The following is a 27785-nucleotide window of genomic DNA, read 5'->3' as shown; positions in this document are numbered from 1 at the left end:
GTCTGAACAAGTGCTGTGTAACTAAAGTCACCTCTAGGCAGTAAGCTGGCCCCTGAAATTTTTCTTCATAGTATTCCTGTGAAGAAACTTGGACAGCCCGTCCAAGTTTTCCATCCTGGCTGTGGTACCAGTCCAATGTACCCCAAGTGTCAGGGAGGCACCCGCCTCCACCCCACCCCGAGGATAGGGCCAAGGTGGGGCGGCTGGGGCGCTGGGAGATGAAGGAGAAGCAATGCGCAGAGGCCAGGACGACCCAGCGTCCTACAGCACGGCACCCAGCTCCGGAAAAGGTCACTCGGACAAGTCGCTTCACCTCTCAGAGCCTCAAAGTCCTCATTCAAATTAAAATTCAAATATTACGCCTTTGGAAAATATTTACAGTTCTGACTCTCCCACAGAAACACATACCTGTCACCGGCCCCCCACCCCCACAAGGACTCCAGAGTCAGGTCAACCACCTCTTTCCTATCAGCCAAGATGCCATTTTTCAGGCAAAACTAAATCCCTTTTGCTTCACGTGACAGTCCAGAAATGTTTCGTTTTGTTTTTAAAAGCAACCCTGCTTATCGGCATCTAACTCTGCTGGGGGCCGACATGAGCTACCAGAGGACGAAAACTACGGCCCAACTGACTCCACGAAGCTCACTCAGGACTGAGGAAGTAAAAACGGGATAACCAGAGGCGCGCCCGACACCCCAGAACAAGCACGGACTATTCTGGGTTAGGAACAGTCGCGGGGCAGCCCTGGCGTGAGTGTGAGGGGCAGAGCCGCGGGCGCCACAAACTGCGGGGCCGGCGGCCGACAGGGAGAGGCCGCGGGGCACGCCCTCCCCGCAAACGCCCGGAAAGTCCGAGGGCGGCCTGCGCGCTCAGGAGACCTGGTCTAGGCGCAGGCCAGGCGCGGAGTGGGGAACCCCGCGGCAGGGACCCAGCGGTGCCTGCCCGGCGGCCCCGGCGCCCAGGTGCGCGTTCAGGACGAGCAGCGTTTTCTGGTCGCGGCGTCGGCACAGGTAATTTCACAATCCCAAGCGGCGCATTCCAACGACAAGAATCACACCCCAGGACCTTAGCCTTTCGCTCGCCCCAGTCGGCGCCGCGAGCCGGAGGCGGTGGGGGAAGGGCGCCTGGAGGGGGGGTGGGGTTGCGGCTGCGGCGCGACCCCCGCCAGCCGCACAGACCTGGTTCCGGATCCTCGGGCCGTCCTGAGTGGTTGCCCATGCTTGGCCGACTCGGGCACCAGCCGGCTTGCCGGCCTCGGACCGGGTGTCCACCGTGCCGAGCTCGCGCTGGCTCCGGCTGGCGAGGCGGTTGCGTCCGGCGGGTCCGCTCCAGTCAAAGAAAGGACCGGGCGCCTTCCAGTTCCCAGCAGCTGCCGGCGGAGCCGCTGCTCTCCCGCGCCCGTGGGCCCCGCCCCCTCATCTGCATCAAGCCCGCCCTCGCGGCCCGCCCCCTTCATCTGCATCCTGCCGGACCACCTCAACTGCACACCGCCCGCCAGGCGCGGCCCGCCCCCGTCATCTGCATACTGTCCGCCCACCTCATCTGTATTTCCTTCTTGGCTGCCAGAAGGCCCCGCGCCGTGGGCGGGACGCACCGGCTGACCGGCTGCAGGCCTCCGCCCGCGGATGCTGAGAACCGCAGCTGCACAAGGTAGGCTGGAAAAACCCCACTGCGGTGAGGCGGAAGCCTAGTGCCGCCGGAAAGGCAAAATCCTGCTCGTGTGAAGCTAGACCTATCAGGACAAGAGAAACCTAGGACTAGCGCAGGACAGGCGCTTAATAAGCATTTCTTTGGGTGAATGAATGAATGGATGAACAACTCGAGGAGGTGGTGAAGAAAAATAACGCTAACAAAGACGTACTCACCCAAAATGAATACTATGGCTAATAATAAAAATGCATACCAATCGTAAGTAGAAACTGTTCTGCCGCTGTCGGAAATTACTAAAATGGAAATTACCCTGAACGACTTTCATCCTTCATCTGACAGTGAAAACACTTAGAACAACGAAATCTTGCAGTAAAAATATTTAGGACTAAAAAAACCATTAGTGGTATGACTGGTTCTATCTCGTGCATCACTTGAACACTACGGTCCATTCTCAGGTGTCACGCATCAACATCGTAGGACACCACTGATTACTCCTAACGCCTCCAAACAGTGTGTTCACTTGGTTCCAGGATGCTACCCTCTCCTAGTTTTCTGCTCACTCCCCTAGAAGCCTCTTCCCAGTCCCCTTTGTTGGTTCCTCCTCATCTTGACCCACCCTGGGCACTAAAGCTCAGCCAACAGACCTCTTTCCTATATACTCTCTTGGTCTTTGATTTACCAACTTGTGGCTTTCAAATACCATCTACATATCTCCAGGCTGGTTCCCTCTTCTAACTCCAGACTCATTTGTCCAACTACCTTCTTGACACCTTCTCTTGACACCTCCACTTAGGTTTTTTAATAGTCCTCTCCATCTCCATAAGTGGCAGTTCCGTTCTTCCAGTGACTCAGGCCAGAAACCTCGACTCCTTTCACATGCCACATCTCGTCCCTCAACAACGCCTGTCAGTATGTGTATCATAAATAGCCCTACATCTCAGCACTTCTCACCTCCTCCACTGCTACCCCCGATCCAAGCCGCTGTCATCTCCTGCCAGGATTACTGCAACTGCCTCCTAACCAGTCTCACTTCTCCTGCCCTTGCCTCTTTATAGTCCATTCTGCACATACAGTGAGAGTGATGCTTCTAAAGCCTAGGTCAAATCATGTCACACCCCCACTTGCAACGCTCCAGTGTCTTTCTGTCTCACTTGGAGGGAAAGTCAAAGCCCTTACAATGGCCTCCAAGGCCCTGAATAATCCTCCTCTTCCCCCATCAGTGAACTCACCTTCCCCTTCTCACATTGCTGTTGCTACACCGGCCTCCTCACTGTTCCTCAAATAAGCGGGGCATGTTCCCATCTCAGGGCCTTTGCACTTGGTGTTCCCTCTGCCTGCAACATTCTTCCTCCCGACACCTACACTGCATAGACCTTATGTCTCACCCTCTCTCACTCCCTGGGCCTTTGCTCAAATGTCACCCTACTAAGGGGGCTTCTCTCATCGCACCACATTAAATAGTAAGCCAGACCCTCAGCACACACCCTCTCCTACTTTGCTGGCCTCTGTGACACTGATCACCATTCCATATACTACATGTTTACTAATTATTGTTCCTCCACTAGAGTGTAAACTTTATAAACACAGAGACTCGGAACAAATGAATGAAAACAAATGAATGAACCAATGTATAGGCTGCAGGCAGCAGACACAAATTAGCCCTTAAATACACATTACTTCTTTTTAGTGGTAGTATAGTACCATGAGTTGGTTTCTGCCACAAAACTAGCGTGTCAAAGACAAGAGTCACAGTTTTATTTCTGTAATCTATAAAACACAGCACAATACTGAGCATGTACAAGCAAATATACTAAGGAAAATAAATAGCAGGAAACAATGTTAGAGCAGAAATGCATATGACACCAAGTGCAACTCCCTCCCCTTTTAAAAAGGTAACTAGCCCAGAAAAGATGGTCGACTTCCCCAAATAGTTCCAAAATGATAGGCAGAGCCTGAGTTTGTGATCATGGTAAGAGTGACACAACTTCAATCTACAGAACAGTTACATACTTATTCAAAGAGTTTTGGAAATCAATGAGTCAATATACTAATTCTGTAAAATGTCAAGTAATTAACATGTCTCTTTATGGAAACTGGACAAGTAAGACCCCAACCCAACCTGGACTCCTATGGCTCTCTCACCTCCCACATTTAAAATATCTAGTCAAGTCCTGCACATTTCATCACCTTAACATTTTCCAGACTTTGCCTCTCTTGTCTTTGCTGCATCTTTGCTTCACAAGGGCTACTGCATTAGCTTCCCAACTAACTTACTACTTCCACTTTCGCTGCTACTTAAATTGCTCCTCCACCTGAATTATCAAAAATGCAAATCTGACTGCGCCATGCCTCTGCCTAGAAGTTCCTGTGGCTCCCCTCTACCCTTAAGATGAAGTCCTTCTAAGCTTAGTATACCAAGGTCCTTCATAATCATGTGCTCCACCTCCACCCCTATTGTTCTAGCCTCAGCTTTCAGAAGTTCTCCCTCCCAACTTATATTACAGCAATGTTGAGCCAGCTGTAGCTCCCTGAACACACCCTATTGTTTCAGGCCTCTATGCTTTCATATCTGCTATATTCCGTCGGTTTCAACACCTCGTCCATAACTGAGCTGCCTGGCAAATGCTTATTCATCTGCTGTGAACTGAGTTGTGTCCTTCCTAAATTCATGTTGAAGCCCTACCCCCCACAATGTGATAGTATTTGGAGACAGGGCCTTTAGGAGGTAATTAAGGTTAAATGAGGTCATAAGGGTGGGGGGCCCTAATCTAGCAGGATAGGTGGCCTTATAAGAAGAGGAAGAGGCTGGCGGAGGCTCACGCCTGTAATCCCAGCACTTTGGGAGGCTGAGGCAGGCAGATCACGAGGTCAAGAGATCAAGACCATCTGGCCAACATGGTGAAACCCCATCTCTACCAAAAATACAAAAATTAGCTAGGCGTGGTGGCACGTGCCTCTAGTCCCACCTTCTCAGCTGAGGCAGGAGAATCGCTTGAACCCGGGAGGCAGAGGTTGCAGTGAGCCGAGATCGCACCATTGTACTCCAGCCTGGCAACAGAGCAAGACTCCATCTCAAAAAACAAAACAAAATAAAACAAATAAAAATAAAAAAAGAAGAGGAAGAGATCTTTCTCTCTCTCTCTTTCTGTTATGTGAGGTCACAGTGAGATGGTGGCATGTATAAGCCAAGAAGACTCCTCACCAGAACCCAGCCATGCTGGCACTCTGAACTCAGGCTTCCAGCCTCCAACACTCCGAGAAATAAATTTCTGCTGTTTAAGCCATCCAGTCTGTGCAATTGGTTATGGCAGCTGAAGCAGAGTAATATATATCATCTTTTAAATTCTTGCTCTGTTATCACCCCCCTTTGGTCTGCCTGCACATCTCAGACAGAATTCAATGCTGTCTCCCTCATGGTACTTCTGTACCTGTCAATGCTTGTATTATTTTATTTTATTTTATTTTTTGAGACAGTTTTGCTCTGTTGCCCAGGCTGGAGTGCAATAGCGTGATCTCAGCTCACTGCAATCTCCGCCTCCTGGGTTTAAGTGATTTTCGTGCCTCAGCCTCCCAAGTAGCTGGGATTACAGGTGCATGCTACCATGCCTGGCTAATTTTTTTATTTTTGTAGAGATGGGGTTTCACCATGTTGGTCAGGCTGGTCTCAAACTCCTGACCTCAAGTGATCCACCTCCCTCTGCCTCCCGAGTAGCTGGGATTACAGGCATGAGCCACCAGGCCCAGCTGGGGTTTCTCCCACAGAACTAGCATGTCAAAGACAAGAGCCTCCCGGGTTCAAGCGATTCTCCTGCCTCAGCCTCCCAAGTAGCTGGGATTACAGGCGCCTGCCACCATGCCCAGCTAATTTTTCTATTTTAAGTAGAGACAGGGTTTCACCATGTTGGTCAGGCTGGTCTCGAACTCCTGACCTCAGGTGATCCACCTGAGTTGGCCTCCCAAAGTGCTGGGATTACAGGCATGAGCCACCATGCCCAGCCATGGATAATTTTAAAAAGCAGTTCAGGGATCAGTCAGGTTGTGGCAGTCACACATCCTGGGCAAATGAAAAACCAACTGCCTGAATGTTATATGAACAGGATAAAATTTCCTGTGGAATCAAAGAGTCCAGTGGAATCAAGCAACACGCGGAAGTGAAGCTGATGTGCTGTGTATCTGATGTAAACCTTAAAAGTGGCTCTGATGATCATGGTGACAGGGTGACATGTCAAAGACGCCTGTGATGACTATAAAAAAAGCAACAGTGTACAGACACTCCTCAACTTATGATGGGTTACGTCCCAATAACCCATTGTAAACTGAAAATATTCTAAGTCGAGATGGGCTTTGTAGACAGGATGGATGCAAAAATGCTGGCAAACAATATTCAAAAAAATGCTGACAACGCAGTACTGTTGAAGGTTTACCCCCATGATTGCAGGGCTGACTAGGAGCTGCGGCTCACAACCACTGCCCAGCATCACAAAAAAGTGTAGCTCCACATATCACTAGCCTGGTAAAAGATCAAAATTCAAAATTTGAAGTACAGTATAGCTTTTGTACCATCACAAAGTCAAAAAATCCTAAGTCAAACCATCATAAGTCAGGGACTGTCTGTAATTTCTAAATTACTGTATTTCTATAATGTGTAATTTCAAATGTAAAGGTATAACTAAGTTGACAACTTGGACATTATAATTACATATTTTTTACTTCACCTATAATCTAAGCGTTTTAAGGAAGACAAAAAGGTTTTTATGGAACTTCACTGAATATAAAGATCCCTTATATACAGGCATAAACAATAAAATAATATATATGTGGTCCCATTTTTATTAAAAATTTCTATATTCTACTGTCCATATTAATATGTGTAGAAATAAATTTTGACATGTATATAGCAAATTATTAGAAATAACTATATCTGAAATATAGAATTAGGAAAGACTTTTTTTCTATACCAAATATCTGTCTTAATAAATATATTTTACTACTATGACCAGAACACATTAAAAAAAGTACATATCCTTAAGCTCAGCAGTTATTCTTACAGAAATTTATTTGAAAGAAATAGTTACAGGCCAGTCACGGTGGCTCAAACCTGTAATCCCAGCACTTTTTTTTTTTTTTGAGACAGAGTTTCACTCGTTGCCCAGGTTGGAGTGCAGTGGTGCGATCTCGGCTCACTGCAACCTCCGCCTCCCGAGTTCAAGCGATTCTCCTGCCTCAGCCTCCCGAGTAGCTGGGATTACAGGCATGCACCACCACACCTGGCTAATTTAGTATTTTTAGTAGAGACGGGATTTCTCCATGTTGGTCAGGCTAGTCTCGAACTCCCGACCTCAGGTGATCTGCCCGCCTCGGCCTCCCAAAGTGCAGGGATGATCCCAGCTACTTGGGAGGCTGAGGCAGAAAAAATCACTTGAACCTGTGAGGCAAAGGTTGTGATGAGCTGAGACTCCGTCCCAAAAAAAAAAAGAAAAAAGGCCGGGCACAGTGGCTCACGCCTGTAATCCCAGCACTTTAGGAGGCTGAGGCGGGCAGATCACCAGGTCAGGAGATCGAGACCATCCGGACTAAAACGGTGAAACCCTGTCTCTACTATACTAAAAAAAAAATACAAAAAAATTAGCCGGGCGTGGTGGCGGGCGCCTGTAGTCCCAGCTACTCGGGAGGCTGAGGCAGGATAATGGTGTGAACCCGGGAGGCGGAGCTTGCAGTGAGCCGAGATCGCACCTCTGCACTCCAGCCTGGGAGACAGAGTGAGACTCCATCTCAGAAAAAAAAAGAAGAAAAGAAATAGTTACAAATATACACAAACATCTAGCTTGCAAGATAATTCTTAACATTTGTTGAGAAATAATTACATGCCAGGCACTATTCTAAGTACATTATATATTTCGATTTATAAAACAAAACTGTTTTTTTAACTCAAATTAAAGATTAGAAAATGACTGAGAGGGTGAGTAACTTGCCTAAGTTTACTCCGCTAGAAAGCAGCAGAGCCAGGATTTAAACCTGTGTCCCCAAGTCCACCCCAAGGTTTGGTGATTCTCTGAAAGGACTCACAAGACTCAGCACACAGTTGCACTCAGAGCTATGATATATGACAGCAAAAGGATACAAAGAAAAGGGAAAAGGTCTACAAGACCAAGTCCAGAGGAAACTAGGTGCAAGCTTCCATGAATTTCCCCCCAGTGTAGTCATTCAGGGTGTGCTTAATTCTTCCAGCAATGAGCTGTGACAACACGTGTGAAATGTCTGCCAGGGAAATTCACTAGAGACTTAGCATCCAGGGTTTTTACCAGGCGATCACATAGGCTCCTGGAAGGAAAACAGGAGTTCAGCATAAACTACAGTGTTTGCACAGTTTATGCAGTGAGCCACTCTTACCAATTAGGGTGGCAGGAACCCTTCCGAAATCCAAGTTCCCTGACACGAGCCAAGTGCCAACCTTGGAAGCAGCCTTTCTAAGGACAGCAGTCCCAGACCTGCTACATTCACCCTTTTCTGCAGAGAAACCATGCCATTTAACTCCAGAGTTTGTGTTCTTAACAACTGCACGTTGCCTCCTTTCTGTTTGTAATAGCAAAAAGCTGGAAAAACCTACAATGTTCAACACAAATGTCCAAGTTTAATAAAATATAATACAGCTATATGATGGCTTCCTATGCAGTCTCTAAAGCTATGTGTCAGATACTAAGTTAAAAGCAAAACAGTACATATGTTAAGAATGTAATCCGCTGGGCGAGGGGTGGTGGCCTACCCCTGTAATCCCAGCACTTTGGGAGGCTGAGGCAGGCGGGATTGCCTGAGGTCAGGAGTTTGAGACCAGCCTGGCCAACATGGTGAAACCCCGTCTCTACTAAAAATACAAAACAATAGCTGGGCGCAGTGGCAGGTGCCTGTAATCTCGGCTACTCGGGAGCCTGAGGCAGGAGAATCGCTTGAACCTGGGAGGCAGAGGCTGCAGTGAGCCGAGAACGCGCCACTGCACTCCAGCCTGGGCAACAAGAGCAAAACTCTGTCTCAAAAAAAAAAGAATACAATTCTAAATTTTTGTACATAAACAAAAACTATATAGACACAGATACCTGGATAAGATGGAAAGGGTTTCAACAATTATACCTCAAGGCACTGATTGAGAGTGGCCCTCTCTGAGTAGGCAAGATTATGATGTCCTTTATATAAGTTCTTTTATTGCTTGTCCTTTTTTTTTTTTTTCTAGTGCACATGTACTGCTTTTTGCTTTTGAGTTAAAAATACATTTATTTGGAAAAATACATAAATGTTAAAATAATTTAAAGTAAAATTCAGCCTGGGAAACAGCACAAGACCCTATCTCTAGAAAAAATAAAAAATCAGCCAAGTGTGGTAGTGTGCACCTGTAGTCCCAGTTACTCGGGAGGCTGAGGTGGGAGAACCACTTGAGCCCAGGAGTTCAAGGTTGCAGTGAGCTATGATTGCACTACTGCACTCCAGCCTGGGCCACAGAGTGAGACCCTATCTCTAAAAATAATAATTTCAAGTAAAATTTATCATATTACCAAAAATCTTCAGTTTCTAGGAAGATTCCTTGAATAATAAACTCTAATACATATATATTCAACAAATATTCATTTATTCCTCAGAATACTGTTAAGAACTAAACTTAAGCAAAGGTAGGACCAGAAGACAGTTCCTAATTTTTACTAAACACCAAAGTGTCCATCTTTTTTCTTATTTTGAGACAGAGTCTTGCTCTATTGCCCAGGCTTGAATACAGTGGCCCAATTATAGCTCACTGCAGTCTCGAACTCCTGGGCTCAAATGATCCTCCCACCTCAGCCTCCCTCCCAAGTAGCTGGGATTATAGCCTCATGTCATCACACCCAGCTAACTTTTTTAAATGTTTTATAGATATGGGATCTCACTATGTTGCCCAGACTGGCCTTGAACTCCAGGCCTCCAGCAATTTTCCCTACTTGGCCTCCTGAAGTGTTGGGATTATAGCATGAGCCATTGCACCCTGTCTCTATCATTTTTAAATAATACATGATTAAACTTTAATTAGTAAAAACCTTTTATGAAAAGCCGCAACATACACAAAACTAAAGAGAACTAATATAATGGCCCTCCATATGCCTCTCAACTCAGTTTCAATAGTTTCCAACTCAGAGCCAATTTTTTTCATCTATCACCCACTTCTTCCTCTAGCTTCAATTATTTTGAAGCAAATCCAAGACATCCTATTTCATTGGTAAATATTTCAGCATGGATTTCTAAAGATAAGAACTCTTTAAAAAACACACACACAATTCCATTATCTCAACTAAAAAATATTAACAATAATTTTTTACCAAATAGCCAGAGTTCAAATTTCCTTGTGCCAGTATTTTTTTTAAATCATGATCCATGGCCAGGCATGGTGGCTCACACCTGTTAATCTCAGCACTTTGGGAGGCCAAGGCAGGCAGATCACCTGAGGTTGTGAGATCGAGACCAGCCTGACCAACATGGAGAAACCCTGTCTTTACTAAAAATACAAAATTAGCCGGGCATGGTGGTGCATATCTGTAATCCCAGCTACTCAGGAGGCTGAGGCAGGAGAATCACTTGAACCCAGGAGGCGGAGCCTGCGGTGAGCCAAGCACTCCAGCCTGGGAAACAAGAGCGAAACTCCGTCTCAAAAAAAAAAAAAAAAAAATCACGATCCATACTGTTATGCACCTATTAGAATGGTGAAAATCCAAAAGACTGACAACACCAAATGCTGGCAAGGATGTAGAACAACAGAAACTCTCATTCATTGCTGGTGGAAATGCAAAATGGTACAACCATTTTGAAAGACAGTTTGTCAGTTTTGTTTTGTTTTGTTTTTTGAGACAGAGTTTTGCTCTTATTGCCCAGGCTGGAGTGCAGTGGTGCAATCTCAGCTCACTGCAACTTCCACCTCCTGGGTTCAAGCAATTCTCCTGCCTCAGCCTCCCAAGTAGCTGGGATTACAGGCACCCGCCACCATGCCCAGCTAATTTTTTGTATTTTTAGTAGAGACAGGGTTTTGCCATGTTGGCCAGGCTGGTCTTGAACTCCTGACCTCATGTTCCACCCGCCTCAGCCTCCCAAAGTTCCAGGATTACAGGCGTGAACCACCATGCCCAGCGTCAGTTTCTTACAAAACTAAACATATTCTTATCATAAGATCCAGCAGTTGAGCTTCTTGATATCTACCCAAATGAGCTGAAAACTTAGGTCTACACAAAAACCTGCACATGAATGTTTATAGCAGTTTTATTCATAATTGCCAAAACTTGGAAGCAACAAAAATATCCTTCAATAGTTGAATGATAAACTGTGGTACATCCATATAATGGAATATTATTCAGCACTAAAAAGAAATGATCAAGACACAAAAAGACATGGAGGAACCTTAAATGCATACTGCTAAGTGAAAGAAGCCGGTCTGAAAAGGCCACTTCTTTTCAGCTACACTACATCATTCCAGCTATCTGACAAAAAAGGCAAACCTGTAGAGACAGTAAGATCAGTGGTTGCCAGGCACTTAGGAGGAAGGATGAACGGGTGGAGCACAGGCGATTTTTAGGGCAGGGAAACTACTCTGTATGACTCTGTAATGGTGGATACGTGTCAAAACCCATAGAATGTACACCACCAAAAGTGAACCCTAACATAAACTATGGACTTTAGTTAATAACAATGTACTTACACTGGCTCATCAATTCCAAGAAATGTACCATCCTAATGCAAGAAGTTAGTAACTTGGGAGTCTGGAGGTGATGGTGAGGGGGTATATATGGAAACTTTCTATACTTTCCACTAACTTTTCTATAAACCTACAATACCTCTAAAAGATAAAGCCCATTAATTTTTTAAACATTCCTGATCCAAATAATAAACTAGACCTTAAATTAACACCACAAAACAAGTGTGGCAGTCTCTGTGGACTACCTATCAGCCATTTCCCACATCTTCCTTCCTTCCTTCCTGCCTGCCAGGGAGCTGGCCCTGAGAGAAGGTGGCCTGTTCTTAGCTGAGTAGTAGATCCTTCATGCACAGCCTACGTTAATCCTGGTGATTCCATTTTCCTTGCTAGTGACTAGGTCAAGGATGCTATGAGACCCAGTTCTGACCAAAAACATTTGAAGGGAGGTCTGCTGGGAGGAAGGCTGGGGAAAGTTCTCTTATTCTTAAAGAGATACTGAAACCTTCTTCTTCCATGGGACTCTGTCCTCGGTTTGAGGTTGCCAGAACTCTAGTAGTTATCTCGTGATGACGAGGGGAGCTGGCCAGAGGGCCAAGCCAGCACAATCAGGGTGGTCGACCAAAAAGATGGAAAGAACCTGCACCCTTTTTGGCATGCCGAACCCCTGAATTAAACACCCTCTGAGTTACCTACTTTCCATTCTGTTACGCACTTGGCACACTTCCTCAGTGTTACAATCCAGCGAATCCGGTGTGGTCTGACCCAGTAGCCATTCTTTTTCTCTACTTACAAGCAAGAGACCGAGGTTCAGGGAGATTACGCTATCTTGCCCAAGGTCATATAGATTAAAAGTAGGGAGCTGAAATTTAATGCAGGCCTGTTGCCACTGAAGCACTCGTTCTTCCTACACTAAACCACTTTGTCTCCAGTAGAAGCTGGACACAGAATCTTCAAAGAGAAATCAACATTTCAGGATTCACAGAAAACAAATAGTTTCTTTAAACAGCAAACTATAAAATATGTAATATCTTTAAGGAGAGAATCTTGAACATCCTTCTTGAATTAGAATGTTTTTAGCCTTAATAGGGCTTAACTTAAATATGAATAACCTTGCTATAATCTAAATGAAAGAAGACTGATATCAATCACTATAAAACTATACACACAAAAAAAACCTCTGTACTTGTCTCAGCCACTGATTCATTAGGTGATCCATCCTCCTAGCGTGTGACACCTCTATTATCTGCCCACTGCCTTCTTTGAGACCTTGGTACAAATATAAAAAATCTTCATTGAGCCAGGCATAGTAATGCATGCCAGTAGCCCCAGCTATTTGGGAGGCTGAGGCAGGAGGATTGCCTGAGCCCAGAAGCTCCAGTCTAATCTAAGCAACATAGCAAGACCCTATTGCTAAAACAGAAAAATCAAAGTCATCATTGGCCTTCAAGATTTTGAAGTTCACTTATATATAAAGGAAAATTATAGGCTGAACACCTTCCTATGTATTTTGTGTGTCTCATGTTTCCCTAGACCAACAAGTCTAGGGGTACCAATGGGGTCATGTTAACAGTACTGGCTGGGCACAGTGGCTCACACCTGCAATCCCAGCACTTTGGGAGGCCAAGGCAAGAAGATCACTTGAGCTCAGTAGTTCGAGACCAGCCTGGGCAACACAGGGAGACCACATCTCTACAAAAAGTAAAAAAATTAGCCGAGCATGATGGTATGCACCTGTAGTCCCAGCTACTTGGGAGTCTGAGGCAGGAGAATCACTTGAGCTTGAGCCCAGGAGGTCAAGGCAGCAGTGAGCTGTGATCGCACCACTGCACTCCAGCCTCGGTGACAGACAGAGACCCTGCCTCAAAAAAAAAAAAAAAAAAAAAAAAAAAGAAAAGAAAAAAACAGTATTAAATAATATTTTTCTGGCCCTAGTCATTTACTTATCGTCCCAACTGCAAAGTTCCCGCAGTATTTCTGGGAGTCCCAGGAGTGTGTCACCTTTTCTCAAAGCGAGGACTCTCAGTGAACTCACATAGTGTGCTCTTTATTCTCTCCTCTACAGAACTCCCTTGGGAAGCTCAACCTCAGCAGCCTAGGCCCCTCCCTCCACTAATGGCAGAAGGAGGCTCCCTGTTGCCTGGGCTCCCCCACGCCCTGTGGTGGGCACTGAAGCCGCCCCACAGGCCTATCAGGCACTCACTGCTGCAGGTACAGACAACTTTCCTGCCTTGCGTGATCAGCCCCCCATCCCTGCTGCAGGCCTCCTCTCAAGGACTCTGAATGGATTCCCCCTACTCTGAACCTGTACTGGTATTTGTCGTTACGAAGGTACCACCGCTGAAAGAGATGCTTAGAAAACCATCCCCATACACTGGTTGTTTTTTTGTTTTTTTTTTGAGACAGAGTCTTACCTCTGTTGCACAGGCTGGAGTGCAGTGGCTCAACCTCCGCCTCCCAGGTTCAAGCCATTCTCGTGCCTCAGCCTCCCAAGTACCTGGGATTACAGGCACGTGCCACCATGCCCAGCTAAATTTTGTATTTTTAGTAGAGACAGGGTTTCACTATGTTGGCCAGGCTGGTTTCAAACCCCTGACCTCAAGTGATCTGCCCGCCTCGGCCTGCCAAAGTGCTGGGATTACAGGCATGAGCCACCACGCTCGGACTTTTTTTTTTTTTTTTGAAACTTGATCTTGCTCTGTTACCCAGGCTGGCGTGCAGTAGTGCCATCACAGCTCACTACAGCCTCGACTTCCTGGGCTCAAGCAATCCTCCTGCCTCAGCCTCCTGAGTAGCTGGGACCACAGGCACGTACCACCACGGTTGGCTAAAGTTTTGTATTTTTGATAGAGATGGGGTTTTGCCACGTTGCCCAGGCTTTTTTTTTTTTTTCCTATAAAGAATATTCCTGTGGCAAACACTGGTTGTTTCTAAGACGTGGTGTTTCAGATAGTACTTTAACTTTCTTCTCTGTTCTTCTTCTGTTATTCCCTTTATTATTTTTATTTTTTAATTGTGGTAAAATATATGTAACATAAAACTCACCATCTCAATTATTATTTTTTTTGAGACAGGGTCTCACTCTGTCAACCAAGGCTAGAGTACAGTGGCGCGATCTCAGCTCACTGAAACCTCCACCTCCCAGGTTCAAGTGATTCTCCTGCCTTAGCCTCCCGAGTAGCTGTGACTACAGGCACGCACCACCATGCCTGGCTAATTTTTGTTGGTTTTTTTTTTTTTGGTAAAGATAGGCTTTCACTGTGTCAGCCAGGCTGGCATCTCAACTATTTTTAGTGTACAGTCCAGAGGTGTTAAGTACATTCACATTGTTGTACAACCATCACCACCCCCATTTCCAGAACTCTTTTCATCTTGCACAACCAAAACTTGGTACCTATAAAAGAATAACTCTCTACTCCCTCCTCCCGCAGCCGCTGGCAATCACCATTCAACTTTCTGTCTCTATGGATTTGGTGACTCTAGGTCCCTCATAGGAATGATCACACAATCCTTTTACTCAGCATAATGTCTTTGAGGTAGCACATGCTGTAGCACGTGTCAGAAATTCTTTCTTTTTAAGGCTGGCCTGACATTCTGTTGTATGTATATACCACATTTTTGTTGATCTACGCATCTGTTGATGGACACTTGGGTTGCTTCCACCTTTTAGTTATTGCAAACAATGCTGCTAAGAACACGGGCGCACAAATATCTTTTCAAGTTCCTGCTTTCAATTATTTTGGGTATATAACCAGAAGTGGAAATACTGGATCATATTATACTTTTCTTTTTAAGGTATTACTTTGTTTGTACTCTTTAAGCTATCAAGCATGAATCATCTTAATAAAAACAATGTAATTTTCCTTACCAAAAAATAAAAAGTATTTATTAACCAAAATAATAATTTAGTGACTTTACACGCACTATGCTGAATGTAACAGAAGACAAGATTTCCCATGCCTTAGCAGGGCTCAGATTCCTTCATTCGGTAGATAACATTCAGCATCTGGTTTGTACATGACACTACAATATTTGTACATGACACTATTCAAGTTTTCCATATTCTGAAAGAGGGGAAAAAGCTCAGTTTTCTTAATAAGCCAAAGGCCAACTCGGTGAACAGAGACTAGGTTCACACAACAAAGAAAACCAAGAGAAACTTGAACATGGGGAGAATGAGTGAAAGAGAAGATCACAAAGTTACGTAACTGAATCGGAAGAAAAGTTCCTTAGGCAAATAGCACACACATTAGTCCAGAAAACACTCCAATTCTGAGGAAGTGGCAGGGAGAGTCAAGGGAGGAGCTATACGGATAAAAAACAGATTAGTGGTTGCCTGGAGCTGGTGGTGGAAACAGATATTGACTGGAAACAGCAGCATGGGGTATTTCTGGAGTGACAGGAATATCTTAAAACTCATCTGCGGTGATGGTTGTAACTCAGTCAATTCACTAAAATTCACTGGATTGCACACTGTAAATGGGTGAATTTTATGGTATGTAAATTATTATCAATAAAGCTGCTTCTTGAAAAAGTCAAGGGAGACAAGCAGATAAGCCTTCAAGACTTGATGTATTATTTACAACCTCAAAAGAGCCATGTCCTCGCTCTGAATCAGTTAGCATGACTGAAGCCTGGGGGAGCCTGGTGAGCTCGCATTCAAAGACACACAGTCTTTGAAGAAGAGGAGATAAAGGGGACAGCATCGCCCATACTCAGGAGTTGCCTGCTTGCTGAATGAGCAGCGAGCAGGTCCAGTGAGCTGGGTTCAACTCACGGCAACAGAGAGTTATTAGGCAGGAGAAGCAGTATAGGTAGGATATGGGAGTGACTTAACAAATACACATGGGGTGCTGCAGAAGGGTTTTTAAAGGAAAAAGCATGCCCTGTTGAAAGGAGCTCAAGAAACGCTTTTTGAAGGAGGTGCTACTATGAGCGGGTCCTTTCCAGGTGAACAGCATATCCATCAAGGTCTGCAGTGGCAGGAGGAGAGAAGGGGGCAGCAGGGAGGGAGGGGCTTGGCTTGGACATGCACAGCCTAGACAAGCAAGGCCCCGGCAGCAGGCCCCGTCGTTGTTCACCAGAGTGACTGTGAAAAGGTCACAGTCAAGGCACCAACGGGGGAGGGAGGTAAGACAGCCATAGATCACAATGAATCACAAGGCAAGATGTTGCCCTTGGCCCCTCAACCAGTGAGGAGTGCTTGAAGGTTTTCGAGCAGAGAAGTGATCTCATGACAGCTGTGGCTTAGGAAGATTACTCTGGTAATACAGAAGTTGCTCTCTTATGCACTCTCTACTGAACATTTTACAGATAATCAATTCACCAAAATAACCAATGCACCCCATGTTTACAGGACACACTGACTGACACCCTTGGCAAGATGAACACTTTTGGCTGGTAGTCTCCTCTCTGGGACACCTGGGCACTCATGCTCCCATCATGTGGGTTGTCTTCATAGTAAGAGTCAAGCATATTTGTTCCCAAACCTATTTATGCTAGTTGTACTTGCAAATTTATTTCCATAACTTTGTACATTAACTAGTGAAATATGAGTACAAAGAGGGAGAGATATCGCTTCCTCAAAAGACATGCTGAATGGTTTGAAAAGACTCAATGAAGATGAGTCACTAAAAATGGCTGAAGCAATTATAATAGAGGAATATTTGCAAACATGTGAAAGGATTCAGTATCCAATCTTCCTCTTAAGTATTTTCGTTCTTTCTCATGTTTAAAAAAACTAAAACTGGAAATCATAGGAGATATAAGAATGGAAAGATGTTTAAAAAAACTTCAATCAACAAGACCACTGTAAGACAATGTCTTGGCTCTATAACTAAAGATGAGTGAACAAATGTGCAGTTATATGTTTTGGGTGAAAATAAAATGTTTAAAAGTATAGTTTAATTTTTTTAGGTTTCCCTGGTTTAGCCAACTTTTTCAATTGATGGGCCGAAAATGATCCTACTCACATAGGACGAGAGAGTAAGCATTAACCACCAGCAGCAACTCAAGTCAGGAAGCTACTGTGCTTTGGGTAAGAGATGCTGTGTTGGGTGAAGTCAGGGGAATGCAAAAGAAATAAAAAGAAGTGGGCTGGGTGCGGTGGCTCACACCTGTAATCCCGGCACTTTGGGAGGCTGAGACAGGCGGATCACAACGTCAGGAGTTCAAGACCAGCCTGGCCAACATAGCGAAACCCCGTCTCTACTAAAAATACAAAAAATTAGCCAGGCGTGGTGATGGGCACCTGTCATCCCAGCTACTCAGTAGGCTGAGGCAGGAGAATTGCTTGAACCGGGGAGGCGGAGGTTGCAGTGAGCCGAGATTGCGCAATTGCACCCTAGCCTGGGAGACAAGAGCGAGATTTCGTCTCAAAAAATAAATAAATAAATAAATAAGAAGTGTAAGATGCAACTGTAGATGACAATTACATGTTGAGAGAAAGGAAGTTAATAAAGATAACACTAGAATGTATCTGGAGGACTGAGAAATGCCACTTCAGTTAGGACAAATCCAGATGCTAGAGAAAGCAGTTAAACAACTCTATAATGAAACGAGGATGATGGGTTTGGTTAAGACATGTTGAGAATGAAATGTAAGATCCATGAGAGCAGGGACTTTTTTTGTTGTCGTTAACTGCTGCATCCCTAGCACCCAGAAAGATGCCTGGAACATAGTAGACACTAAATATGTATTGAAGGAATGAATGAATACACATGCAGAATATTCCCCAGACATTTTCAGCAAACAGTGGGAGGAGTGTTTCTGGAGTACAACGGGCAAGTTGGGATCCGAGATGCAGGTTTGGGAATCATCAAGGACTTCTGTCTATCTTGTAACCCAAAGGCTTGGAACAGAGCTTCCCACATGGGAGGATACAAGAAAATGTACCCAAGAACAGGTCTTTGACCTTAATAGCAGCCCCTTCAGGGTTGGAAAGGACTTTGATGAAAGTCTTCCAATCCTGTCACTCCATAGCTCCTCCACTTGTAGAGAATGAGTACCTCTCTAGCAAGCACATGGAGTTCCTTACTTCCTGGAGCAACATGCTTGTCTCTGAATTGCTGCAGCTAACCAGAATATTCTTTCATCTATTAGTCAAAATCTGGCCCTATTTTTACTAGTTGGAGCCAAAAATGGAAAAATTTAATATTGACCAAAAAAGAACTGGTTGATAAGTGATGGTAACTTGGGGAGAAAAAAACATGTCATCTTAAAGCAAAGCTTCACGAGTATTTATAGAAGCTTTATTCATAATTGCCAACACTTGGAAGCAACCAGGATGTCCTTCAGTAGGAGAATGGATAAATAAACTGTTGTACATCCAGAAAATGGAATATTATTCAGTGCTAAAAAGAAATGAACTATCAAGCCATGAAAAGACATGGAGGAAACTTAAATGTGTATTACTAAGTGAAAGAAGCCAATATAAAAGGTGACATACTGTATGATTCCAACTATGTGACATTCTAGGAAAGGCAAAACTATGGGACAGTAAAAAGATCAGTGGTTTCCAGGGACTAGGGATGAGGGAGGGATGAACGGGCAGAGCACAGAGGATTTTGGGGGCAGTGAAACTACTCTGTGTGATATTACAATTGCCGATACGTGGCATTATACATTCATTCAAACCCACAGAATGTACACCACCAAAAGTGAACCCAAACTTAAACTATGGACTTTGGGTGACAATGATCTGTCATGTCAATGTACCACGCTGGTGGGGGATGTTGATAATGGGAGAGGCTGTACATGTGTGGGGGCAGAGGGTGTATGGAAACTCCAAAAAAAAATTAAGACTCAAGCTAGGCCTGGTGGCTCATGCCTGTAATCCCAGCACTTTGGGAGGCTACAGCAGGAACATTGATTGAACATGAGTTCAAGACCACCCTGGGCAACATAGTGACACCCCATCTCTACAAACAAAATTTAGCTGGGCATGAAGGTGCCCACCTGTAGTCCCAGCTACTCAGGAGGCTGGGGTGGGAGGGCTGCTTGAGCCCAGGAGTTCAAGGCTGCAGTGAGCCATGATTGCACCACTGCACTCCAGCCTGGGCAACAGAGTGAGACCCTGTTGCATAAAAATAAAATAAAATAAAGGGCTGGGTACGGTGGCTCACGCCTGTAATCCTAGTACTTTGGGAGGTGGAAGGGCGGATTATTTGAGGTCAGGAGTTCGAGACCAGCCTGGTCAACATGCCGAAAACCCATCTCTAGTAAAAAATACAAAAATTAGCTGGGCTTGGTGGCATGGACCTGTAATCCCAGCTACTCAGGAGGCTGAGGTATGAGAATCACTTGAACCCGGGAGGCAGAGGTTGCAGTAAGCCAAGATTGTGCCACTGCACTCCAGCCTGGGCAATGGAGTTAGACTCTGTCTCAAAAAACAAAATAATAAATAAAATAAAGATTTAATTTTAAAAAAACCTTTTAAAGGAAATAAAAAAAGAAAGCAAAACTTGAAGAATCTTAAAAGATGACCAAGAGTCTAAGGCAGGTGGATTTTTTTAAGTTTGTTTTTGTTTTGCCATAATTCCTAAGTAGGATATTCTGTTAAAGAAGATTATTTGAGGGAAAAATCACATTTTATAAAAATATCTATATTTCAGTTTCTGCTCTTAGTTCTGCAGATGTGTCATTTCATTTGCTTGTCACAATTCTCTGTAATGGGCACGATTAACTCCATCTTATGGATGAGGAAACCAGCTGAGAGACACTAAGCAGCTTGTCCAACATCACACACGATGCTCCTCCAAGAGGCTAAGACATTCGCAGAATTGTGAGTCTGACCTCAAATGAGTAACTGACAGACTGAAGAAGAAAGGGGACGGTTCCTAAATAAACCAGTGTAACCGTGCAGGCGTTCTTGATGTGCTCAGGAAAACATGAGGGCATATATAGAAACTGAAAATAGGGCACACGGCCATGGCCAAACAGGAGTGGGCAGAAATCTCGGAAAGCAGTCTGAAAAGCTAGCCCTGAAAAGGAGCTGAGTGGTTTCCGATGGTGAAGGCAAACCCTCTGGATGCTCTTTCAGCTTTGTTTTTCTGTCTTCCCTCAGGCATATACATCCAAAAATGGTCTTTGCCCATTTGCAAAGTGTAGCTCAAACCTTAGTGGGAGGAAACTAAAGTCCAAGGAAACCATCTCATGAATGTAAATATCCTGGCCCAGGGAAATTAAACCCCAAACACGGAGATAACTTGGGAATGAGGCTGTGAACTGCTATCAGTAACCACTGAGAAATCATAAAACAAGTGCCAGAGAGATGGGGACCAGAACGAGGAGGTTCTTTATGGAATGATAGGAATGATTTCCAAAATACACTGAAAAGAGAAAATGCGCACGTGCAGAATGGTGTGTCCATTTACGTTACTATTTGCATACAGAAAGGTAAAAGGATATCCTTTTGCTTCCAGACACACTGAATAGTTCTAGAAAGATACCACATTCCCCACCACTGGTGGGTGAACTTGGTGGCTGGGCAAAGGGGCAGGAGCAAAACTTTTCACTGTAACCCTTTACATTTTGAATAAGTAAACTGTCTTACTTGTTCCAAAAAAAATGAATAAAACTTAGAAAATGTTTACCTGATAAAAGACTAGAGTTTGAAAAGACAGATTTTTTTTTTTTTTTTTAATAGATGGAGTCTAGCTCTGCCACCCAGACTGGAGTGCAGTGGCGTGATCTTGGCTAACTGCAACCTCCGCCTCCCGTGTTCAAGCAATTCTCCTGCCTCAACCTCCTGAGTAGCTGGGATTAACAGACGTGCGCCACTATGCCTGGCTAATTTTTGTATTTTCAGTAGAGACGGGGTTTCACTATGTTGGTCAGGATGGTCTTGAACTCCTGACCTCGTGATCTGCCTGCCTTGGCCTCCCAAAGTGCTGGGATTACAAGTGTGAGAAGTGTGAGCCACCGCGCCCAGTGCAATGGTTTGCAAGGAGACATAGTGATCCCCAGTACACAAAATAAGCCAAACTCTAGGACCCTTTCTACAGCAGGGTGTGTAGGCCCTTTCTACAGCAACATCCTAGAGTTTGGCTTCTTCTCAGTGATTTTTCCACTCCCACAGATTTGGCTCCTCCCAACAGAAGGAATGGTTGTAGTTGGTAGGTTAATTTGCTTAAGGTCACACAGCCAGGATGTGGCCAAGAGGACAGAACAAAGTCATGCCTATGCCCTCTCTTATACAGACTTTTCTTATGGTCTTCTCATTACTGCATTGACTACGTGCAAGTCTTATCTTCTGGTCCCCCACACATGGTTCCTAATGTAATTCCCTGCAATGTAGATTATTAAATGTATGTTGGGATCAGGCACAGTGGCTCACACCTGTAGTCCCAGCACTGTAGGAGGTCAAGGCAGGAGGATCACTTGAGCCCAGGAGTTCAAGACCAGCCTGAGCAACATAGTAAGACTCTGTCTACAAAAATAACAAATTATCCAGGCATGGTGGTGCATGCCTGTGGTCCATCCAGACTATTCCAGAGGCTGAGGCGGGAGGATCACTTGGGACCAGGAGGTCAAGGCTGCAGTGGGCCATGATCATACCACTGCACTGCATCCTGGGTGACACAGCAAGACCCTGTCTCAAATGAATACATAAACAAATTTGATTTTATTGCAAACTTCTTGGCTTAATGTTCCAAAACTAATTTTCACAGTATAAAACTACCACAAAGGGGCTGCCTTTTGGGATTGATCAAATAAGGATAAACGTCCCATCTAAACAGCACTGACAAAATCCCAGCAAGATTCCACTGTTGAGGGGGAAGAGGGAAGTATCAAGAGTACACACTTCTACTCTGACCATCTGTACTGTAATTTGCTTAGGAACAGTACTTTCACAGTATTAAACTACTTTTTGAAGTGGAAATCAATATGCAAACAAAGACAATTCAATGGCAAACTCAGTAACATGCACAAACTTTCAGGAAAAGAGAACACACAACACTGAGAATCTACTGTGTGTCAGCAGCCAGGAAAAGCAGCATAAGAGATCTGATCATGTTTTCCACTGACAAACTTGAACATTTCAGAAGGTCACACCCAAGTTCAAGGACTGGAACTTTAATATTCCATGAATTCAGTGGAAAGACCTTCAGCTTCCCTTCCATCCAATGTGATGATTACACAGAACCAGAAAAGCAGAACTTTCTTCTGGAACATAAAACTTGTTATATGGTGGGATCCTACAATTCTTTCCCTTTTCTCCTCTTCCATAAGGGAGTATGGGATACTGGAACCTGACCAAGTTACCTGCAGGGACAGCATTTCTCATTCACCCCCATTTCAGCATTTCTAGGCAACATGTCAGGTGCAGTGGCTCACACCTATATTCCCAGCTACTCTGGAGGCTGAGGCAGGAGGATGGCTTGAACCCAGGAGTTGGAGACTAGCCTGGGCAACATAGTGAGACCCTGTCTCAAAAAAATAAAACAAAACTTTCCTAAGCAATAAGAAGTACCTTTCTCAACAAAGAAAGCAGGAAATCTTGCTTTCTGATAATGCAAACAACTAGAAGTACGAAGCACATTTAATTGGCTTTATAATATACCATTTTTAAAAAGCTCCTGTGCCCAATTTTTTTTCCCTTCCCAGGGCAAGGGGTCAGCATGGGAGCTGAGTATGGGGCAGTGAAAGGATGTTATGGAGTCATGCAGAGGGGTGGGTTGGTCAGTGAGGCTGGAGGGTGGGGAATGGGGAGTTGGGTGCAGGTGGCAGGTGGGAGAAGGATTTGAGACTGGTTATATTGAGCAAATAGGTACATAAATTGAGGATACTGGCAGCCATGTTTCTCACTACTACCAGAGATGATGGTTACAAGCAGAGAAAGGGGCAAGGCTAGAAAGAACCCTGAGTGGTTGGATTGAAATTGGAGGTGTGGCTTTATTATATATACATAGGGAATATATAATATATATTTTATACTATATTTTGTTATATTTATATTACATAAATATATACATGTTTGTAATATGTTTATATTTAAACATATATAAACATTATATGAAGTAATACTTATATAATGTGTGAATATTCTATATGGGAATATATAATCTTGTAACCCTAACCATCAACTGTTATGAATAACACCATCTGGGCCCCAAGAAACACTTCACATCTCTTTTCCTTGTCCTTGAAACAAAAAAGAGTGCGTCTGAACGCTGTGAGGGTTTGTGAGTTGTACCACTGCCCACAGTGGAGACTGGTCTGGTTGGGAATACGGAGTGCAAAGCCGGGAGGGGCTTTGACAACAGATCACACAAAAGATTCAGTCTGTTAAACTGGTTTCAGATAGGATGAATACAATACATTCTTACACTTTGCCAGAGGTGCCAAGTTCCATTTTCCATTTTCTTTTTCTTTCCATCCCAACAGGTGGTTCTGGAATATTCATGAATCCCTGCAGTGTTTGCAACAGGAGCCATGGTGGCCGAGGAGTAGTTTGCAATACTAAACTATTCTTATTCCTCTCAAATTTATGTATATGTAAATCTAGACATAACATGAGTCAAGTGTGATTTTGAAAAAAAAAAGAAAAATCTTAAGAAAGCAAAGCCTGAAACACTGGGCAAGGTACACCACACTAAGGCAGGTAGATTCTTTTTTTTTAACTGCCATGATTCCTAAGTAGGAGATTCTATTAAGGGAGCTAGTTCAAGGGGGAAAAAAATCACATTTTACAAAATAATCTACACTTCTGCTTCTGTCCTAGGTACGTGTATTTGTCATTTCACTTAATTCTCACACTGTAGGAGATGGGTAAGACTAGCTCTGTTTTTCAGATAAGGAAATAATAAAGAAGAGCAGAACTCGGTGAAATGGGAAAAAAAAATAGAGAAAAACGAGTGAGACAAATAGCTGGTTCTGAAAAAAAATTATAAAATTGACAAACTTCTGACAAAAAAAGAGAAAGAATATACAGATTACCAATGGCAGGAATGAAACTGGGGATATCACTACAGACTCCACAGACTCAAAAAGGATAAAGGGGAATATAATATGAATAACTATACACACGGCTAGGCACGGTGGCTCACACCTGTAATCCCAGAACTTCGGGAGGCCGAGGCGGCAGGATCACGAGGTCAGGAGATCGAGACCATCCTGCCTAACACAGTGAAACCCCATCTCTACTAAAAATATAAAAAATTAGCTGGGCATGGTGGCGGGCGCCTGTAGTCCCAGCTACTCGGGAGGCTGAGGCAGGAGAATGGCTTGAACCCAGGAGGTGGAGCTTGCAGTGAGCCGAGATCACGCCACTGCACTCCAGCCTGGGTGACAGAGCGAGACTCCATCTCAACAAATAAATAAATAAATAAATAAATAAATAAATAAATAAATAACTACACATAAAATTTGACAGTTTAGAAGACATGGACCAACTGCTTGAAAAATACAACTCACTCAATATTAAGCAGGTAATATGAGTAGCCCTATAACAATTAGGGAAATTTGAATTTGAAATTTTTTTAAACTCACCCTTTCACACCAAAAAAAAAAGCCAAAAAAAAATGAAAACAAACAAACAAACAAACAAACTTCTAAGTAGAGAATATTTCACTCAGAATTCTACCAATTATTTAACGAAGAATTAACACAAACTTTACCTAATTTCTTCCAGAAAAAAAGAAAAGTTAGGAATACTTCCCAGTTTACTTTATGAAGTAGTATTATCCTGATACCAAAACCAGAAAATGTCAGTACAAAAAATGCAAACTACAGACCCTCATGAATACAGATTTTTAAATTCTTAACAAAATACTAGCAAATAGAATTCAGTAATATATAAAAATAATCATATACCACGACCAAGTGGACTTTAGAGGGTACAAGGCAGGTTCAAGATCTGAAAAATCAGTCAATGTAATCTACCATATTAACAGGCTAAGAAAAGTCACATAATCACATCTATCAATGCAGAGAAAACATTAGACAAATTCAAAATCCACTCATGGTAAAGACTGGAATAGAGGGACATTTCTCAGAAAAAAAAAAATCTTAGAAAAACTGGAATAGAGGAGAAATTCCTCAACTTGCTAAAGAGCATCTACAGAAACTCCCGAAAGCTAACATTACATAATTAATGGTTAAAGGCTGAATGCTTGGCCGGATGCAGTGGCTCACGCCTGTAATCCCAGCACTTTGGGAGGCCAAGGCGGGCGGGGATTGCCTGAGCTCAGGAGTTCAAGACCAGCCTGGGCAACACAGTGAAACCCCGTCTCTACTAAAATACAAAAAATTAGCCAGGCGTGGTGGTGCGCACCTGTAATCCCAGCTACTTGGAAGGCTGAGGCAGGAGAATTGCTTGAACTCGGGAGGCAGAGGTTGCAGTGAGCCGAAATTGTGCCACTGCACTCCAGCCTGGGTGACAGAGTGAGACTCCATCTTCAAAAAAGCAAAAAAAAAAAAAAAAAAAGAAGAAGACTGAATGCTTTCCACGTAGATCAGGAACAAGACAAAGATGTCTACTGTTAGCACTTTTATTCAATATAGTGTTAAACTTTCTAGCCAGTGTGATAAGACATGAAAAGGAAATAAAAGGCATACAGATCAGAAATGAAGAAATAAAACTGTCCTGGCTGGGCACAGTGGCTCACACCTGTAATCCTGGCACTCTGGGAGGTCAAGGTGGGTGGATCACTTGAGGTCAGGTGTTCAAAACCAGCCTCGCCAACATGGTGAAACCCCGTCTCTACTAAAAATACAAAAAAATTAGCATGCCTGTAATCCCACCTACTCAGGAGGCTAAGGCAGGAGAATCACTTGAATCTGGGAGGCAGAGGTTGCAGTGAGCCGAGATCATGCCACTGCACTCCAGCCTGGGCAACAGAGGAAGAAAACGACTCAAAAGAAAAAGGAAGAAATAAAACTGTACCTATTTGTAGATGACATGATTGTTTACATTGAAAAATCCCAAGGAATCTAAAACAAACAAAAAATCCTCCTAGAACTAATAAGCGACTTTAGCAAAGTTGCAAGGTATAAGGCAAACATATAAATATCAATTGCATTTCAATATACTAGCAATGAACACACAAACACCAAAATTAAAAATACAGTATCATTTACAATTCCTCAAAAATAAAAAATAAATACTTAGGTGTAAATCTAACAAAACAGGTATAGGATTTGTATGCCGCAAACTACAAAATGCTGATGAAAGAAATCAAAGATCTAAATAAATGGAGAGCCATACCATGTTTATGGATTAGGAGATTCAACATAGTAAAAACATGTGAATTCTCCCCAAATTGATTTACAGGTTCAACACAATTACTATCAAATCTCAGAAGATTTCTTTGTAGGTATATTTATATGGGAAGTCAAAGGAACTAGACTAGCTAGAACAATTTTGGAAAATAATAAAGTAGGAAGAATCAGTCTACTTGATTTCAAGACATTACAAAGCTACCATAATCAACAGTATGAGGCATTGTCAGAGGGACAGACATATAGATCAACAACACAAAATGGAGAACCCAGAATAAAAGTATGCCCAACTGATATTTTCTTTTTTAATAGAGACAGGGTCTCGCTCTGTCACCTAGGCTGGAGTGCAATGGCGTTATTATATATCACTGCAGACTTGACCTCCCAGGCTCAAACAATCCTCCCACCTCAGCATCTCAAGTAGCTGGGACCACAAGTGTGCACCACCATACCCAGCTAATTTTTTTATTTCTTGTAGAGACGGGATCTTGCCGTGTTGTCCAGGCTGCCATCCTCTGGCCTCAGCCTCCCAAAGTGTTGGGCTTACAGGTGTGAGCCACCACGCCCAGCCCCAACTGATTTTCACAAAAGTAGAAAAGCGATTCAATAGAGAAAGGATACCCTTTCCAACAATGGAGCAACTGGACATCCACAACAAAAGTAACCTTGACCCAAGTCTCACAACTTTTGCAAAAATTAACTAAAAATGAATAACACACTTAAATGTAAATGTAAAACTATAAGACTTTCGGGAAAAATATAAGAGAAAATCTTAAAGAAGTGGCTCTAGGCAGCTGGGCGCAGTGGCTCACACCTGTATTCCCAGTACTTTGAGAGGCTGAGGCAGGTGGATCACCTGAGGTCAGGAGTTCAAAACCAGCCTGAGCAACATAGTGAAACCCAGTTTCTACTAAAAATACAAAAATTAGCTGGGCGCAGTGGCACAAGCCTATAATCCCAGCTTCTTGGGAGGCTGAGGCAGGAGAATCACTTGAGCCCAGGAGGCAGAGGTTGCAGTGAGCCAAGATTGTGCCATTGCACTCCAGCCTGGGCAACAGAGTTAGACTCTGTCTCAAAACAACCAAACAAACAAACAAAACAACAACAACAACAACAACAAAACTGGCTCTAGGCAAAGAATTTTGACATCAAAAGCACAATCTATAGAAGGGAAAATTAGCAAGTTGGACTTCATCAAAATTTAAAATTTTTGGTC

The 27785-nt window shown here is 43.7% G+C and overlaps 1 protein-coding gene across 34 annotated transcripts in view, besides 5 other annotated features; it reads right to left on the bottom strand.

Moving 5' to 3' along the window:
* The window catches only part of SPECC1 (sperm antigen with calponin homology and coiled-coil domains 1), a 309668-nt gene that overhangs the window by 161612 nt on the left and 120271 nt on the right, over positions 1-27785 (bottom strand). For 8 of the 34 annotated variants that reach the window (XM_017025321.2, NM_001033555.3, XM_047437070.1 and 5 more), the window contains exon 1: positions 1179-1343. The exons of the other annotated variants lie outside the window; for them this stretch is intronic. In XM_017025321.2, coding sequence (XP_016880810.1) covers positions 1179-1218 — 40 coding nt within the window. In that variant the 5' untranslated portion in view covers positions 1219-1343. Of the gene's footprint in view, positions 1-1178; positions 1344-27785 lie in introns of those variants that run through there. 34 annotated transcript variants of the gene reach the window in all.
* Positions 842-1051: a silencer, noted in NCBI's record as "silent region_8308". NCBI's record gives its function as "represses an Ori minimal core promoter by ATAC-STARR-seq in GM12878 lymphoblastoid cells {active_cell/tissue: GM12878}" and the evidence as "EXISTENCE:reporter gene assay evidence [ECO:0000049][PMID:35858748]".
* Positions 1062-1511: a silencer, noted in NCBI's record as "silent region_8307". NCBI's record gives its function as "represses an Ori minimal core promoter by ATAC-STARR-seq in GM12878 lymphoblastoid cells {active_cell/tissue: GM12878}" and the evidence as "EXISTENCE:reporter gene assay evidence [ECO:0000049][PMID:35858748]".
* Positions 1522-1631: a silencer, noted in NCBI's record as "silent region_8306". NCBI's record gives its function as "represses an Ori minimal core promoter by ATAC-STARR-seq in GM12878 lymphoblastoid cells {active_cell/tissue: GM12878}" and the evidence as "EXISTENCE:reporter gene assay evidence [ECO:0000049][PMID:35858748]".
* Positions 13544-14052: an enhancer, noted in NCBI's record as "H3K4me1 hESC enhancer chr17:20046676-20047184 (GRCh37/hg19 assembly coordinates)". NCBI's record gives its function as "activates a minimal SCP1, AML or CMV promoter by ChIP-STARR-seq in primed H9 embryonic stem cells {active_cell/tissue: H9 hESC(primed)}" and the evidence as "EXISTENCE:reporter gene assay evidence [ECO:0000049][PMID:30033119]".
* Positions 20986-21202: a silencer, noted in NCBI's record as "fragment chr17:20039526-20039742 (GRCh37/hg19 assembly coordinates)". NCBI's record gives its function as "represses an EF-1alpha promoter that drives an FKBP-Casp9 reporter gene in an ReSE screen in HepG2 liver carcinoma cells {active_cell/tissue: HepG2}" and the evidence as "EXISTENCE:reporter gene assay evidence [ECO:0000049][PMID:32094911]".

The sequence above is a fragment of the Homo sapiens genome, chromosome 17, assembly GCF_000001405.40.
Source record: "Homo sapiens chromosome 17, GRCh38.p14 Primary Assembly".
Taxonomy (NCBI): Eukaryota; Metazoa; Chordata; class Mammalia; order Primates; family Hominidae; genus Homo; species Homo sapiens.
This window is presented reverse-complemented; position numbering and strand designations above follow the sequence as displayed.